Consider the following 15,364-nt stretch of genomic DNA (forward strand, 5'->3'; position numbering starts at 1 on the left):
ATGAGAGGACATAGAGAATACAGCCAATCTGAAAAAATCTGACCCTTTTAGGCTGGGCACGGTGGCTCACGCCAGTAATCCCAGCACTCTGGGAGGCCAAGGTAGGTGGATCACTTGAGGTCAGGAATTTGAGACCAGCCTGGCCAACACGGCAAAACCCCATCTCTACTAGCATTACAAAAATTAGGTGGGCATGGTGGCATGCGCCTGTAATCCCAGCTACTCTCAAGACTGAGGCACGAAAAGCGCTTGAACCTGGGAGGCGGAGGAGGTTGCAGTGAGCCAAGATCGCGCCATTGCACTCCAGCCTGGGCAACAGAGCGAGACTCCACCTCAAAAAAATAAAAATAAATTAAATAAATAATAAAAAAATATAAAAAAATCTGACCCTTTTGGCAGGCAGAGCATGCCAAAGTCATAAATTCTTTAGTTACATTTTCTGTCTCTTAAGTTATTGGAAGTGGTAGTTTTACCAAATGTTAAAACATCATACAACACAGGTTGTCAACTTTTCAGCCTCCAAATATTAATTCATTCACAATTAACTGTCCCATCCTAAGCATGCTTCCCTCTAGACAGAATATATTTCCCTGCCCCAATGACTTTGGCTTGGCCATTTAACTAGCTTTGTCTAATGCAATGTGAGCAGATGTAACATACACCATATCCCAGCAGAAGCTCTGAGTACACTTACATGGTTAGGTTCAGTCCCTATTATTCTTCTGTTCTCATAAGAACAGCATGTCCTAGCTACTGGGATATTCATTTAACCTAGGTTACAGAATGAGCAGATACATGGAGCCAAACCAGCTAAGATGCAGCCCTTAAGTAATGTGGGCAGGAAATTAAGGAATAAATCTTTGGTGTTGAAAGCCACTGAGTTATTAGACTTGTTTGTTATTCAGCAAAATATAACTAACACATACAATCATGCATTTTCCCCTTAGGAATAATACTCAGGATCCATACCAACAAGAACTTCTACTGCAGCTAAAGAATCATCTTCCCAATCCATATCTTCCTGTTTTTCTTCAGACATCTCCTTCAAGCAACATGAGATAGGATAGAACTGTTTCCATTCACCAATTAATTTTTTTGTAGCTGAATCAGACATCTTGAATGCCTGTCCTGTGAGAGTGCCATTTAGTCCAAATGGGCATAAGATAACTAGAAACCCAAAGCAGACATCAAATAAGTAACAAAAGACTGTTTTACCAAATAAGAACACAGTGAAAAATGTGGCAAATAATCGTGCAATTATAAAAAAGAAAAGGAAACCAGTAATAACCATTCCAGAGAAAAATCAACTTATTATACTTCGTTACTGTGAAGATAAAGTATGACACTGAGTTTATTATATAAACTGTTAAAAATTTGTCTGCCCAGGCTGGGCATAGTGGTTCACGCCTGTAATCCCAGCATTTTGGGAGGCTGAGGCGGGTGGATCACCTGAGGTCAGGAGTTCAAGACCAGCCTGGTCAACATGGTGAAACCCTGTCTCTAATAAAATACAAAAAAAATTAGCTGGGTGTGGTTGCACACGCCTGCAATCCCAGCTACTCGGGAGGCTGAGGCTGGAGAACTGCTTGAACCCGGGAGGCAGAGGCTGCAGTGAGCCAAGATGGCACCACTGCACTCTAGCCTGGGCAACAGAGGGAGACTTCATCTCAAAAAAAAAAAAAAAAAAAATTGTCTGCCCAAACTCTTAAGATTTTTAACAGAAGCTGGGAATATTTGTGTATCCTTCAATTTACTTTGACTCCCACTAAGAAAAAGCATTCTAAGAAAAAGCAATCTGAGGAAAAACAATATAGATATATAAATCTAAATATTTATAATGTACTGCCATGTAAACTTTAAAAAGCAAATATTAGGTTTAAAGTTAAAATAAGAACACACTGCCAAGCCTTAGAGGCAATTCAGCAATCTTATAAAATATTTCTTCTAGAATTCAACTTTTTTCATAGTATAAATAGTATCAAAAGTCCCTTTGTAGCTATGTTACACATGGCTCTGGCCGGACATGGTGGCTCACTCACACCTATAATCCCAGCACTTTGGGAGGCCGAGGCAGGTGGACCACTTGAGGTCAGGTGTTCAAGACCAGCCTGGCCAACAAGATGAAACCCAGTTCTACTAAAAAAAATACAAAAATTGGCCAGGCTTGGTGGAACGCGCCTGTAACCCCAGCTACTCAGGAGGCTGAGGTAGGAGAATTGCTTGAATCCGGGAGGTGGAGGTTGCAGTGAACCAAGATCATGCCACTGCACACCAGCCTGGGCGACAGAGCGAAACTCCGTCTCAAAAAACAAAAACAAAAACAAACAAACAAAATATGGCTTATATGACCTGACATACAAGATAACCTTGAAAACATTAACACATATAAATCCATTATGCTATCTAAAAGAACACTTTAAACTACTTCACCATTCACGGTCAAGAATTTTTTGGTAATACCTGTATTTAAAAATTTATTTCACTGACTTAACACTGTAATGGGGAAGGAAAAAGTAAATGACATCAAAATCATCATTAGGCTAAAGATCAGGGGGAATTCCATCAATCCCCAAATGTAAAATTATGAAGTCAAATAAGGATCTTTCAATAAAAGATCAAATACCTAATATAATAAAATAATCTACCTTGAAATGGGCTATTAGACTGTTGAGCAAGGGTGATATGCTCTTCACTGAGAAGGTATACAGGTTGATGTTGGTTAATTTCCACACTGGTACAAACATTGCTGTCTCCATGCAAGAAAAAGGTGAAGGAGCAGGACAAGTGTTCACTAAAAAAGAAGAAAAAGTTTTATCTTAGTGATGACTAGTGGCCAAAAATGTTAACTTGCTTTTCTTTATTAGGAAGTATGCAAAAATGCATACCCTATTTTGCCCAAAAATTCTACTTCATCAGAAGAAAAAAAATCATGGATATGAGCAAAGACTTAGCTATAAGAAATGTTCTTTACAACACTGTTTATAGTAGGAAAGGCTGCAAATACAGGAACCAGTTAAACGAGTTAGGTACATTCACACATAGAATTATTATATAGCCACAAAAATAAGTTAAAATAGAAGAGTAGGTTTATTGGAAAGGGATAGGCTACCAAAATAGTAGGGTCAATTTTTTTTTTCTTTTTCTTTTTTAAAGAAAGAGAGAGGGTCTCAGTATGTTGCCCAGGGTGGCTTGTAACTCCTGGGCTCAAGGGATCCTCTGACCTCAGCCTCCAAAGCAGCTGGGACTACAGATGTGGGCCACTGTACCCAGCTCTTTTTTTTTTTTTTAAAGAAAAAAAAAGTTTTATTTGGATAAAGAAAATAAAGGCGGACAACAGAATTAACAGTGACTTAATTTTTATTTTTGCCTATTTTCCCCTCTATATAAGAAACTATAAATGTTTTCTCACTTTATTAATTAATTGGACTAATCATTTAATGCAATCCCCTCCCAACCAATAACATTATTTTAAAGCAATAATGGGTCTTACAGTTGAAGGCATCCTAGAATCAAGAATATATGCAAAACAGTACACCTTAATGAAATTCAGGTATGGCTGGGTATACAGGTTGGAAAATAAAAGTTCCCAAGGACATCAGAGGTATCTTCAAGATACAATTTAGAAGGGTCAAGTTGCGCAGAGGAGGATAAGAGTGTACACTAAGAAAATAAACTCTTTTTATTCCTTCTCCACACATTTATCTTAAGAATTCATCCTTAAAAGTTTTTTAAACTATGATATTAATCAACTCAGAACCTGTTTTATATATGTATAAGCCCTCTTGAATTTCTTCTGGATAAGCAGAACATAGTGAATTAAAATTAAATTATAGTAAAAGTAATGCTAGAGTTAACAGAAGTGGGAAAATAGATGGTAGAAAAGAGGCAAAAAGCAATACAGAGCTAAGAATTTCTGTATCTTATACATATGGAGTCAATACAAAATGTCTAAACTTGATAGAACAAGAAATAGAAATTTAAGCATGTTATTCAAGTTACAAATGTAACTGACAGAGGCTAGTCTGAAGGTAGTGAGTTACCTCAGTTGACTGTTCAGTTAGTTGCAGATCAAACTCCTTGTTCTACTCTTTCCCCTCTTTCCACTACTGCATATGTGACTAGTCTAAAAAATGCTTTTAATCGAAATAAATTTTTTTTAGGCCAGGCACAGTGGCTCACATCTGTAATCCCAGCACTTGGAAGGCAGGCAGATCACTTAAGGCCAAGAGTTCAAGACCAGCATGGCCAACATGGTGAAACCTCCATCTCCCTAAAAATACAAAAAATTAGCCAGGCGCAGTGGCAGGTGCCTGTAATCCCAGCTACTTGGGAGGCTGAGGCATGCGAATCGCTTGAATCCACGATGTGGAGGCTGCAGTGAGCCAAGATCACACCACTGCATTACAGCATGGGCGACAGAGTAAGACTGTCTCAAAAAACATATAAGTAAATAAAAATAAAATAAAATAAAAATTAATGTAACTGACAGAAAAACTAAAAATAATATAACTAAAACAAAAAACAAACAAAAACCTTATCATTCTTGTTAAGAAAGCAGTGACAATGGCTGGGAGTGGTGGCTCATGCCTGTAATCCCAGCACTTTGGGAGGCTGAGGTGGGTGGATCACCTGAGGTCAGGAGTTTGAGACCAGCCTGGCCAACTTGGCAAAACCCCATCTCTACTAAAAATACAAAAATTAGCCGGAGGTGCAGTGGTATGCGCCTGTAATCCCAGCTACTCAGGAGGCTGAGGCATGAGAATCGCTTGAACCCAGGAGACGCAGGTTGCAGTGAGCCAAGATCACACCACTGCACTCCAGCCTGGGTGACAGAGCAAGACTCCATCTCAAAAAAAAAAAAAAAAAGACAAAGAGGCCTGTAATCCCAGCACTTCGGGAGGGCAAGGCAGGTGGATCGTTTGAGCCCAGCAATTTGAGACCAGCCTGGCCAACAAGGTGAAATTCTGTTTCTACTAAAAATACAAAAATTAGCTGGGTGTGGTGGCACACACCTGTAATCCCAGTTACTAAGGAGGCTGAGGCAGGAGAATCACTTGAACCCAGGGAGGCAGAGATTGCAGTGGGTTGAGATCTTGCCACTGCACTTCAGCCTGGGCAACAGAGTGAGACTTCATCTCAAAAAAAAAAAAAAAAAAAAAAAAAAAAAAGACACAGCGGCTAGGAGACCTGAATTTTATAACCTTTTATCTACTGTTCCTTTAATCAGTGGAGTATAGTTCTTAAAAACACAGTTTTCAACTGTTTCATTTCATACATGAAATATTAAATAAGAGAATTTAAAAACAGCCAGTCATGCCTGTTATCTCAGCACTTGGGAGGCTGAGGCAAGAGGAGTTGGGCTTGAGCCCAGGGGTTTGGGACCAGCCTAGGCAGCATAAGACCCCATCTCCACAAAAAAATTAAAAATTAGCTAGGTGGGGTGTGGTGCATGCCTGTGGTCCCAGCTACTCGAGAGGCTGAGGCTGAGGTAGAAGGAACATCTGAGCCTGAGAGGTTGAGGGTGCAGTGAGCTATGATGACACCACTGCCCTCCAGTCTCCAAACAAAAAAAGATATTTAAAATGGATTTTTCTCATGACAAAGCATTTTAAAATAATTTTAAAAATTATTTTAAAAACATTTTAAAAGATTTTAAAAATTATTTTAAAAGCATTTTTAACATTTTAAAAATCTATTTTCCTGAAAATATTATAATATGGGAAATGTTTAAATATACATTAATTTGACCTATCTTAAATATTATTTAGGAAAATAAGTTTACTCTAGTATGTATAAAATCATAAAAGTCATCTTTCAAGTTCCCTAACAGTCTTTCCAATGAGCACTTACCCACTTCATTTTTTAATTTTATGGTTTAGAGACAGGTTCTCACTGGAGTGCAGTGATACAATCGTAGCTTGCTGCAGCCTCAAACTACTGGACTCAAGAAATCCTCCCATCTCACCCTCTTGAGTAGCTGGGACTACAGGTGTGCGCTACCACACCCAGCTAATTTTTTTTTTCCCCCTAGGGATGGCAGGGGCGGGGGGGCTCACTATGTTGCCCAGGCTGGCCTCAAACTCTTGGCCTCAAGCAATCCCTCCACCTTGGCCTCCCAAAGTGCTGAGATTACAAGCATAAGCTAACCTCATCTGGCCCCATTTTATCTGTTAAATAAGAAAATAAAATTTGGCTTCTTGATATAAAGGGATAAATTGGTCTCCAAGGAGTCTTTGTAGCAATCCAGTATTCCAAAGTACAAAACATGTAACCAATGGTCTCAGCTCCCACTGTTTATCTGCCACTACCCTATTTACTAACAACACTCAATCCCAGCAGTCTATGATCAAAGAATCACTACCTCCTATACTGCTAGCATGTAATCCCAATATACAATAGTCTGATCTTATTGTAACATTCAGTGGTTTAAAATAAACCAAGTTTGTATGTGATACTGGAGGGAAACAATATTCTAAATATGTGATACAAGTTTCTTGCTCTGTTGCCCAAGATGGAGTGCAGTGGTGCGACCTTGGCTCACTGCAGCCTCCACTTCCCAGGTTAAAGCGATTCTTCTTCCTCTGCCTCCTGAGTAGCTGGGATTACAGGCACCCATGACCATGCCCAGCTAATTTTTGTATTTTTAGTAGAGACAGGGTTTTACCATGTTGGCCAGGCTGGTCTCAAACTCCTGACCTCAAGTGATCTGCCTACCTCGGCCTCCCAAAGTGCTATAAATTACAGGCATGAACCACCGCACCCAGCCAAGATTTTTTTTTTTTTTTTTTTTTTTGAGACAGTTTCACTCTTGTCACCAAGGTTGGAGTGCAATGGCGTGATCTTGGCTCACTGCAAACTCCGCCTCCCGGGTTCAAGCAATTCTCTTGCCTCAGCCTCCCAAGTAGCTGGGATGACAGGCGCCTGCCACTGCGTCCGGCTAGTTTTTTTTGTATTCTTTTAGTAGAGACGGGGTTTTGCCATGTATTGGCCAGACTGGTCTTGAACACCTAACCTCAGGTGATCCGCCCACCTTGGCATCCCAAAGTGCTGGAATTACAGGCGTGAGCCACTGTGCCGGCCTGAAATTTTTTTTAAGAGATGGCAGTCTCCCTATGTTACCCAGGATGGAGTGCAGTGGCTATTCACAGGCACAGTCGCGGAGCACTACAGCCTCAAACTCCCAACCTCAAGTGATCCTCCTGCCGCAGCCTCTTAAGTAGCTTGAACTACAGGTGTGCACCACCACACCCAAATCTCCGAAATCCTTATATTAAAGGCAATATTCTAGTCAGAGAATATTATAAAACAATTAGAAAATACTAACATAGTAAATTCAGACTTGCTTTTTTTCCAAGGAGAAATGTTATTTGTATCATCCCATCAAACATTTTTGGTATTTAACACTCAGAAAAGTGAGTTAAAACAAAAACATGTCACCACAATAACAATTCGAAGTATTATTAGTTACTATAAAGGATTGCAGAGAATACTGTTGCTCTCCATGAGCTCACACTACAATATCTAAAACAAAAAGTTATGAATGAGGCAGAATTTTATAAATGAAACTTGAACAATCTTCCATCGTGGAAAAAAAAGTTCCTCAAATTAAGTACTGAAATTAATCAAAAGATTATTTCTAAAACAGAAAATGAAGACGTGCTTATAGATTAAAGCTGGCTGCTCTAACAGCAACAATTCCATATGTATGCTAGATTAGGCAGTGCCACATCAAACCTATTTCTAGCATTTGTATTAAGCAGCTACAGAAAAATGATATCCCATTTGCCAGTAGAGAATCCGAGGCACAAAGAGGTTAAATGGCTTGTGTTAAAATCATAATACTAGTAAAGAGAATGCTGACTTCAAACTCTAAACACCCTATCAACCAATTAAAAAAATGGGCAAAAGACTTCAAAAGTCGTTTCTCCAAAAATGATATAAAAATGGCCGATAAACACATAACATGCTCAACACATCACTAATCATTAGGGAAATGCAAACCAAAAACACAGTAAGATACCACCTCACACCCATAAAAATAGCTTTAAAAAAAACAGGAAATAACAAGTGTTGATGAGGATGTGGAGAAAATGGCACTCCTCTGCATTGCCTTTGGGAATGTAAAATAGTGCAGCCACCATGGAAAGCAGTATGGAAATTCCTCCAAAAATTGTACTTCAAATTACCATATGATCCAGCAATTCCACTTCTGGGTAGACACCCAAAGGAACTTAAAGCAGGGACTTGATGAGAGATATGCAGACCAATGTTCATAGCAGCATTATTCACAATAGCCAAAAGGTGAAAACAACCCAAATACCATTTACAGATTAATACATAAACAAAATGTAGTATATACATACAACGGAATACTATTCAGCCTTAAAAATAAGGGGAATTCTATCACATGCTTCATAAATGAATCTTGAAGATTTTATGCTTACTGAAATAACCCAGACAAAAAAGGACAAATACTACATGATTCCACTCATATGAGGTACCTGCAATAGTCAAGTTTCTAGACAGACAAAGTAGAATGGTGGTTATCTGAAGCAGAAGAAAAGAAAAGAAAAATTGAAGAGCTGCCACTCATAAAATTTTATGAGTACACATTCAGTTTGGGATGATGAAAAAGTTCTGCAGATAGATAGTGGTGATGGTTAACAATGTGAATGTACTTAATGCCACTGAACTGTACACTGAAAAATTATTAAGTTTTGTTACGTACATTTTACCACAATAAAAAGAAACTGTAGTCATCTTTTTTTTTTTCCTTTGAGACAGGGCCTTGCTCTGTCACTCAGGCTGGAGTGCAGTGGCATGATCAGAATTCACTGCAGCTTCCACCTCCTGAGCTCAAGCGATTTTCCTGCCTCAGCCAACGAAGTTAGGTGGGACTACAGGTGTGAGCCACTATGTCCAGATAATTTTTAGAATTTATTTTTTGTAGAGATGAGGTCTCACTATGTTGTCCAGGCTGGTCTTGAACTCCTGAGCTTAAGCAATCCTCCTGTCTTGGCCTCCCAAAGTGCAGGGATTACAAGCATGAGCCACTGTGCCCAGCCTCCCCTAGCCATCTTAATTCTGAGATTATTTTTATTCCGTGAATTCAAAAGTTTCCAAACTTGTCTTACATTAGGATCTTCTAAAATTTCCAAAGCCCAGATTACAGTCCCAGGTTAAGACACAGGCATCAATAATTTTTTGTAAGCTCTCCAGGTGATTCCCACATCCAGACAAGTTTGGGAATCATTAATCTGTATTTCTACAGCCTTCAGAGTAACTTTTAAATTTTTAAATTTACAGGTATAATACCAGTATCAGGTATTATTAACATAGCTCCATGAACAAAAGATCTATACTAAAATCCAGAAGTTAACATCTTACCTGTGAATCCTGTACATATTTCTGCTCACTCAGTGAACATATTACTTACATTATACAGTAAATAATACTTAGAAAGTGGCCAGGCACGGGGGCTGATGCCTGTAATCCCAACACTTTGGGAGGCCAAGGCGGGTGGATCATGAGGTCAAGAAATCAAGACCATCCTGGCTAACACGGTGAAACCCCGACTCTACTAAAAACATAAAAATTAGCTGGGCATGGTGGCACACGCCTGTAGTCCCAGCTACTCGGGAGGCTGAGGCAGGAGAATCGCTTGAACCTGGGAGGTGGCAGTTGCAATGAGCCGAGATTGCGCCACTGCACTCCAGCCTGGTGACAGAGCAAGGTTTCATCTCAAAAAAAAAAAAAAAAAAAACCAAAAAAACCCCACAAAACTTAGCAACAACATTATTCTGGTTTACCACTTCAAGTGTTCTGCAAAATGCTGCTTTTTATTGTTGTTTTTAAGTATTATGGTTTTTACTATTTCCTGTAACTTAAAAAAAATACATGTGTAGGAGACATATCGGTCTATAGGGGTCCATAATCTACCTCATATTTTTCATGCCTAAAATGCAGCTCCAACACTTGATAGCTGTATGAGCTTGGACAGATTTGTAAGAGTCTACAGTAAGAATTATAGAAAGAAATTACGGTAAGAAAGGCTGGGCATGGTGGCTCACACCTGTAATCCCAGTACTTTGAGAGGCTGAGGCTGGAGGATCACTTGAGGCTAGGAGTTAGAGACCAGCCTGGTCAACATGGCCAGCAGAGAAACCCCATCTCTACCTAAATTACAAAACTTAGTCAGGTGTGGTGGTGTACTCCTAAGTCCTGAGTATTTGGGAGGCTGAGGCAGGAGAATTGTTTGCGCCCAGGAGGCAGAGGTTGGAGTGAGTCAAGATTACACCACTGTACTCTGGCCTAGGAGACAAAGCAAGACCCTGTCTCCAAAAAAAAAAAAAAAAAAAAAAAAAAAAGAAAGAAAGAAAGAAAGAAAAATTATTGTAAGAAAACCTCAACAAGGAGGAAAAATAGGAGAAGTCTTAGCATTTTTCTCATAAACGTTCTAGAAAGCATGAAAATGTAGAAAATTGACCATGCAAATTCTAGTGACATCATCATTTAAGATTTCAGAAATGATACATAATAATCTTGATGACAGACATTAAGGACAAAACATTATAGACAGGCTACAGGGAAAACAATAAAAAGGCACATCCAGTCTGCTGAAGTAACTACACCTAATTTAGCAGAGAGTTCATACCCTGACTGATACAAGGTACGGGATTCTTCTTGCCTTTGAGATTCTAAAGCATACTCACAATTTAGCATACAATTCCAGAAGGGTTCACTGACCACCAGAGAAGGTACCTTTCACTAATAAACACTACCAAGTTCAACTGGGCTTAAACCCCTAGAACTGTGTTGTAAATACAATAGCCAATACACACATATAACTATTGGTGACTTAAAATGTGGCCAATCCAAACTGAGATATACTCTAAGCACAGCACACACACCTAATTTCAAAAGCAGTACAAAAAGTAAACTATTTCATTAAAACCTTCTGCATAGTTAATTATATGCTGACATGATATTATTTTGGACTTACTGAATTAAAAAATATATTACAATTAATTTTGCCTATACATTTAGTTTTTTTTTAGCTTTTTAAATGTGCCTAGTAGAAAATTTTAAATTACCTATGTGGCTCACATTATACTTCTACTGGACAGTACATTAGATGACAGGAAGAGAGGAAATGAGTCCATAAAAAACCTAACAGCAATAGCTCCTAGCTTCTCTAGAAATTTGCCTTTTCGGAGACAGTGAGAAACCTAACCAAAGGACATCCTAACGCTACTAATGGTTAATAATACATTTTCAGGGGAGACTTACATCTCATGGTGCCTATTTTTAATCAGTTTTGGAGAGCACGAGATAATGTAAAAGCCATACATATGGCAGAAAATAAACACAGCTTTATGGGTGAAATTTAAAGCATATTCTTTCATTTACTTCCTTAAAAAAAAAAAATCGATGAATTTCTTTATTGAAGCACCAAAAGTACTGTTTTAATTATAAATATAAAGGTTCTTGTGTAAGCAATACCACCCAAAAAAATAACTTTCTGCAATGATGAAAATGTTCTACATCTACACTGCCCAATACAATGGCCATTAACAACAGCCATCCTTTCCTTCCTGTGAACTTTTACTGCTTTATCCCACAAAATCAAAAATTTATCACTCTCTATGGACTAAGTTTTTTACTACTAATTCCAGGGCTCTAATTATTCTAATACAAAGGCTTAGAACATATTGAACCAAATATTTAATCCTATTTTCTTTATGTTATATCCAGCAAGGATTTATTATATCCTATATGTACATGTCTATATGTATACACATAATGTAATATAGACATACAAACACACATATATAACATGTAATACTCTATATTGCCTTTTTTGAGATGGAGTTTCACTCTTGTCACCCAGGCTGGAGTGCAGTGGCACGATCTCTGCTCACTGCAACCTCCACCTCCCGGGTTAAGTGATTCTCCTGCCTCAGCCTCCCAAGTAGCTGGAATTACAGGCACATGCCACCATACCTGGCTCATTTTTGTACTTTTAGTAGAGACAGGGTTTCACCATGTTGGCCAGGCTAGTCTCGAACTCCTGACCTCAAGTGATCTGCCTGCCTTGGCCTCCCAAAGTGCTGGGATTACAGGCATGAGCCACCACATCTGGCCTATATTGCCTTTTAAAATTGGAATTAAAGATAACTATTTTACATACAGTAAATATATCAAAAAAGATTTAACAACATATTTTTTCCATAGAAATCAATTATATATAGTTGAGGGAATGGGGTAAGATTAAAGTATGTATTAAAATCAAACATGTTCCCTATTAACTATTTCCCTCCTATACACAATCTCATCTGCCACTTAACAAAACCTCCTATGTCACTATATACGTAAGATACTGAACTAGCTGTCTAAAAAAAGAATTCTTTACTAGTATGTTTCTATTCTGTATACCCTCCTAGAAGCATTTAAAACTTTTGCTAAATACACAAACTTTACCGCACACTCAGCTAAATGGCTACAACAGATTCAACATGACAAAAAGCTTAACCAAACACAATCTTAAGAAAGTTCTTGGCCAGGCGTGGTTGGTGTGTGCCTGTAGTCCCAGCTACTCTGGAGGCTGAGGTGGGAGAACCAATTAGGCCCAGAAGTTTGTGGCTGCAATGAGTTATGATTGCGCTACTGCCATCCATCTTGGGCACAGAGCAAGACCCTGTCTCTATTTAAAAAAAAAAAAAGTTCTTATTCAAGATAATCTTTTTCAAATGCACTCTCAAACATGGCAAGTTCAGAATATCTTTTATAGAAGAGACTAAAACCTACATTAAGTCAGTGGTACTTACTACAACCCATTTGCTTGTGGGCTCACTAGAAAACTCAATGCCTGTCATGTGATCCAGTCCCCAGCAATGTAGGAAAACACCTAAACTATTCAAGAAAACACTGGTCATCATTCTTTAAACCAATTATCTGAAGACTGGTTTGTTCCTGTGGTTACTCTTACACTTGCGGGATTCTTTACAGGTAACCTAGCTGTATCCCTAGAATTTGATTCTATTTCCTCTCTTTCAGTCCCTAAAGACTGTTAAACACACAACTACATGTAGGTCCAGATTATCAGAAAATGAGATTTTTTTCTTTAAAAATTTTAAAGAAAGGAAAAAGAAGATAAAAAGGTAAGCAATATTATTTTCTCCTTTGTTCAGGTCAAAGTAGTTTCACATCATAAATTTTCTTTCTTTACAACTCTTGTTCTTTTTTCAGAATACTTATACCAAAAGTGAATTGATTAGTCAACAAAAACAGTCTATATAATACTTATGTTTCAGAATGGTCTAGAAATGCATTAATTTATAATCAATCTTTATCTACCTTCCCTATATCATTCCACTGAATTCAACAGAAAAGAAGTCCGAAGTAATAACTTAAAGATAGACTTAGCTGCTTGATTTTTGTCCTACTTGCTTTTCCAAAGAAGGAAAAAGGGTAAGAAAGTTCCTGTAAAAAAGAGATTTGAGGAGCAGCATTTATCTTTCCAGAATAAAGTCAGTTATTATACCACAACTATGGTTCAAGAGTAACTCGAAAGAGCATATACTATTTCTGGTAACACTTCACTAATAAAATACAATCTTAATTTAGTTCCCCTCCTAAATGGGTCAGCCCATGGAAAAACACTAGTGCTCAATTACATGGTTAAATAACAAGCAGCATCTGTTGGATTCATGAAAATATCCAATTAAAAGTTGTATTTTTGGCCAGGTACACTGGCTCATGCCTGTAATCCTAGCACTTTGCGAGGCCAAAGATGGTGGGTAGCTTGAGCTCAGTTCAAGACCAGCCTAGGCAACATGGTGATATCTTGTCTCTACAAAATCTACAAAAATTAACCAGCCTTGGTAGCGTGCACCTGTGGTCCCAGCTACATGGGAGGCTGAGGTGTGAGGACTACTTGAGCCTGGCAGTTTGGGCTGCAATGAGCCATGATTGTGCCACTGCACTCCAGCCTGGGTGACAAAATAAGAGACCTTATCTCAAAAAAAAAAAGTTATAATTTCAATTTTTTTTTTTTAAGACAGGGTCTTGCTCTGTTGCCCAGGCTGGAGTACAACAGCACAATCCTAACTCAATGCAGCCTCAATCTTCTGAGCTCAAGTGATCCTCCCACCTCAGTCTTCAGAGTAGCTGGGACTCTGAAGTCCCACTTCAGAGTGTGTGCCACTGTGCCCAGCTTTTTTTTTTTTTTAAAGAGACGGGGGTCTGCAGCCATAAAAAAAGAATGAGTTCGGCTGGGCATGGTGGCTCACGCCTGTAATCCCAGGCCTTTGGGAGGCCGACATGGGCGGATTACCTGAGGTCAGGAGTTCGAGACCAGTCTGGCTAACATGGTGAAACCCCGTCTCTACTAAAAATACAAAAATTAGCCGGGCGTGCTGGTGGGTGCCTATAATCCCAGCTACTCGGGAGGCTAAGGCAGGAGAATTGCTTGAATCCAGGAGGTGGAGGTTGCAGTGAGCTGAAATCATGCCACTGTACTCCACCCTGGGCGATAGAGCAAGACTTCATCTCAAAAACAAAAAGAATGAGTTTATGTCCTTTGCAGGGACATGGATGAAGCTGGAAACCATCATCCTCAGCAAACTAACACAAGAACAGAAAACCAAACACTGTATGTTCTCACTCAAAAGTGGGAGTTGAACAGTGAGAACACATGGACACAGGGAGGGGAACATCACAGACTGGGGCCTGTTAGGGGATAGGGAGCATGGAGAGGGAGAGCATAAGGACAAATACCTAATGCATATGGGGCTTAAAACCCAGATGACGGGCTGATAGGTGCAGCAAACCACCACGGCACTTATGTATCTATTAACAAACCTGCACGTTCTGCACATGTATTGCAGAACTTAAAGTAAAAATAAACAAACAAATAAATAAATAAAATAAGATCATTAAAAAAGAGAGAGAGAGAGAGAGACGGGGGTCTAGCTATGTTTCCCAGGCTGCTCTCAAACTCCTGGTCTCAAGCCATCCTCCCACCTCGGCCCCTTAGTGGTGGATTACAGGTGTGAGCCTATATTTTCAATTATCAATAGCCTTTTAAGAGTTTTTCATAAAGAAAGCCGGGTGCAGTGGTTAAACTTACAAAGTTATAAACTGAGTCAAACCACAGAATCCCAGAAAGGCTCAGAAGTTGAAGGTACTGGTATATATACATATATACATATACATATACATATACATATATATATATATATATATGTATATATGTATATATATATCCCTGAAGGTGGATATATAGGTGTAACTGAAAAGAGAAGGGGCTGGACACAGTGGCTCACACCTGTAATCCCAGCACTTTGGGAGGCTGAGGTGGGCA

At 38.9% G+C, this 15,364-nt stretch overlaps 1 protein-coding gene across 4 annotated transcripts in view, besides 1 other annotated feature; it reads right to left on the bottom strand.

Annotated features, from left to right (window-relative positions):
• The window catches only part of MED13 (mediator complex subunit 13), a 122,674-nt gene that overhangs the window by 90,213 nt on the left and 17,097 nt on the right, over positions 1–15,364 (bottom strand). For 3 of the 4 annotated variants that reach the window (XM_011525551.3, NM_005121.3, XM_011525552.3), the window contains exons 4-5: positions 2,646–2,791; positions 970–1,167 (exon numbers count right to left, since the gene is read on the bottom strand). In XM_011525551.3, the coding sequence (XP_011523853.1) occupies positions 970–1,167; positions 2,646–2,791 (344 nt within the window). The remainder of the gene's footprint in view (positions 1–969; positions 1,168–2,645; positions 2,792–15,364) is intronic. The other variant, XM_011525553.4, reaches the window with a different exon arrangement.
• Positions 4,310–4,495: a silencer, noted in NCBI's record as "fragment chr17:60114488-60114673 (GRCh37/hg19 assembly coordinates)". NCBI's record gives its function as "represses an EF-1alpha promoter that drives an FKBP-Casp9 reporter gene in an ReSE screen in K562 erythroleukemia cells {active_cell/tissue: K562}" and the evidence as "EXISTENCE:reporter gene assay evidence [ECO:0000049][PMID:32094911]".

This window comes from Homo sapiens, chromosome 17 (genome assembly GCF_000001405.40).
Source record: "Homo sapiens chromosome 17, GRCh38.p14 Primary Assembly".
NCBI lineage: Eukaryota > Metazoa > Chordata > Mammalia > Primates > Hominidae > Homo > Homo sapiens.